General features: G+C 49.0%; 1 annotated feature.

Moving 5' to 3' along the window:
- Nucleotides 1–295: a silencer, noted in NCBI's record as "tiled region #11253; K562 Repressive DNase unmatched - State 5:Enh". NCBI's record gives its function as "represses a minimal TATA promoter and a strong SV40 promoter by Sharpr-MPRA in K562 cells {active_cell/tissue: K562}" and the evidence as "EXISTENCE:reporter gene assay evidence [ECO:0000049][PMID:27701403]".

Here is a 3,345-nt window from a genome sequence, read left to right as displayed (position 1 = left end):
AACCCAGGTAGTCTGGCCCCAGCACCAGCGCGGTTAGCCACTGAATCCTATTGTCTCTCCAGATGGCCCTGGCTGAGTGCCCAGAAGAAGGCGTGGACCCCGTGAGTGATTCAGAAACGCTATTTTCCTTCTTCCTGTCTTCCTCTGTTTAAAAATTCTTCAGGGACTATTATTGACAGAAGAGCGGTCACCCAATTTAGAAACTCTGTGGCCACCCTTCTGGCCTCCAGCCTGGGGACAAGTTTTCTTTCTTTTTTGCCTTTTTCCCCTGCTTTTCCAAGTTACTGGTAAAGAGACAAGTTTTTTTTCCTTTCATTAATTTTTTTTTTTTTTTTTTTTTTTTGTGAGACAGAGTCTTGCTCTGTTGCCCAGGCTGGAGTGCAGTGGGGAGATCTCGGCTCACTGCATCCTCCATCTCCCGGGTTCAAGCGATTCTCCTGCCTCAGCCTTCCGAGTAGCTGGGATTACAGGTGCTCGCCACCACACCTGGCTAATTTTTTTATTTGTTTAGTAGAGACTGGGTTTCACCATGTTGGCCAGGCTGATCTCGAACTCCTGACCTCAAGTGATCTGCCTGCTTTCTCATCCCAAAGTTCTGGGATTACAGGTGTGAGCCACTGCACCTGGCTGAGACAAGTTTTCTAATGGACCTCAGAGCCTGTTGTAAAGGTTTTACCCAGCCGTGGCAACCAGTCTGCAGCACCGCGTAACTTTATTCCTTCCAGGAAGGTTATAATCAAATGCCTTGATCCTCTCTTGGCATTGTCCTCAAGCTACTGTGCCCCAGCTGAGAGCTACCCTGCCACCAGTGTCACGGGAAGGAGGTGTGTGTGTTGCCTATTACACATATCAAACTACCCCCCTCTACTGGGTTGAATTTTGTCTCCGCAAAATTCATGCATACCTGGAACCTGTGAATATGACCTTATTTGGAAACCGGGTCTTTGCAGATATAATCAAGTTAAGGTCATACTGGAGTAGAGTGGCCCCTAAACCCAATACAACAGTTGTCCTTACAAGAAGAGAGAAATTAGCTGGGCGCGGTGGCTCATGCCTATAATCCTAGCACTTTGGGAGGCTGAGGTGGGCGGATCATGAGGTCAAGAGATTGAGACCATCCTGGCCAACTCAGTGAAACCCCCTCTCTACTAAAAATACAAAAATTAGCTGGGTGTGGTGGTGCGCACCTGTATTCCCAGCTACTCTGGAGGCTGAGACAGGAGAATCGCTTGAGCCCAGGAGACGGAGGTTGTAGTGAGCCAAGATCGCACCACTACACTCCAGCCTGGCAACAGAGAGAGACTCCATCTCAAAAAAAAAAAAAGAGAGAAAGTTTGGCCAGGTGCAGTGGTTCATGCCTGTAAACCCAGCACTTTGGGAGGCTAAGATGGGAGGATTGCTTGAGAACAGAAGTTCAACACCAGCCTGGGCAACATGGCAAAACCCCACCTCTACAAAAAATACAAAAATTAGCCAGGTGGTAGTCCCAGCTACTTGGGGGGCTGAGGCAAGAGAATTGCTTGAACCTGGGGGGCTGAGGCTGCAGTGAGCCAAGACCGTGCCACTGCACTCTAGCCTGCGTGACAAAGTGAGACCTTGTCTCAAAAAAAAAAAAAAAATGCTGAGCGCAGTGGCTCAGCTTGTAATCCCAGCACTTTGGGAGGCCAAGGCAGGTAGATCACCTGAGGTCAAGAGTTTGAGACCAGCCTGGCCAACATGGTAAAACCCCATCTCTATTAAAAATACACATACACAAAAAAATTAGCTGAGCATGGTGGCGGGTGCCTGTAATTCCACCTACTCAAGAGGCTGAGGCAGGAGAATCCTTTGAACCCAGGAGGCAGAGGTTGCTGTGAGCTGAGATGGCACCACTGTACTCCAGCCTGGGTGACAGAGTGAGACTCCATCTCAAAAAATATATAAAAATAAAAATTAAAATAAAAAAATTAGCCAGGTGGCCAGGCGTGGTGGCTCACGCCTGTAATCCCAGCACTTTGGGAGGCCGAGGCGGGCAGATCATGAGGTCAGGAGATTGAGACCATCCTGGCTAACACGGTGAAACCCCATCTCTACTAAAAATACAAAAAATTAGCCGGGCATGGTGGCAGGCACCTGTAGTCCCAGCTACTCGGGAGGCTGAGGCAGGAGAATAGTGTGAACCCAGGAGGCGGAGCTTTCAGTGAGCCGAGATCATGCCACTGCACTCCAGCCTGGGCGGCAGAGGGAGACTCCGTGTCAAAAAAAGAAAAAAAGAAAAATCAGCCAGGCATGGTGGCACATGCTCGTAGTCCTAACTACTCAGGAGGCTGAGGTGTGAGGATCCCTTGAGCCCAGTAGTTCAAAGTTACACTTGAGCTATGGTCATGCTACTGCACTCCAGTCTGGGCGACAGAGAAAGATGCTTTGTGTAAAAAAAAAAATAAGAAGAGGGAAATTTGGTCACAGACACACAAGGAGAATGCCATGTGATGATGGAGGCATAGATTGGAATGATGCTTCCGAAAGCCAAGGAATACCAAGGATTGCCAGCAACCACAGGAAGCTAGGAAGAGGCAGGAAGAATTCTTCCCTAGAACCTTCAGAAGTAGTGCAGCACTGCCAACAACTTGATTTTGGACTTGTGAACTCCAGAAGTATTAGAGAACAAATTTCTGTTGTTTTAAGCCACCCAGTTTGTGATAATTTGTTTTGGCAGTCCTAGGAATGTAACACACCCTAAACCTAGAGGTGTAAAGCAAAAAGGGTTTCTTAGATCTCAATTCCATGGGTTGGCTGGGCTCAGTTGGGTGGTTCTTCTGCTCCATGTGGTGTCAGCTGGGGTGAGCCAGGCTGCAGTCAGCTAGGAGCTGGGCTGGGGGCTCACTTACATGACAGGCAGTTGGTTCTGGCTGTTGGCTGGGGTACCTTGGTTCTCTTCCATGTGGCCCTTGACCTCCACATGGCCTTCCTATCAGGATGGCCCAGAGTTCTTTTTTTTCAATCTTTTTTTTTTTTTTTTTTTTTGAGATGAAGTTTTGCTCTTGTAGCCAGGCTGGAGTGCAATGGCACGATCTTGGCTCACTGCCACCTCCGCCTCCCAGGTTCAAGTGATTCTCCTGCCTCAGCCTCCCGAGTAGCTGGGATTACAGGCTTGCGCCACCATGTGCGGCTAATTTTTGTATTTTTAGTAGAGATGGGGTTTCACCATGTGGGCCAGGCTAGCCTCAAACTCCTGACCTCAGGCGATCCACCTGCTGGGATTACAGGTGTGAGCCACCGTGCCTGGCAGGATGGCCCAGAGTTCTTTATACGGCATCTGGCTTCTAGAGGTAGAAACAGAGGACAGCGAAAACAGAAGCTGCAAGG

This window comes from Homo sapiens, chromosome 11 (assembly GCF_000001405.40).
Source record: "Homo sapiens chromosome 11, GRCh38.p14 Primary Assembly".
Taxonomy (NCBI): domain Eukaryota; kingdom Metazoa; phylum Chordata; class Mammalia; order Primates; family Hominidae; genus Homo; species Homo sapiens.
This window is presented reverse-complemented; position numbering and strand designations above follow the sequence as displayed.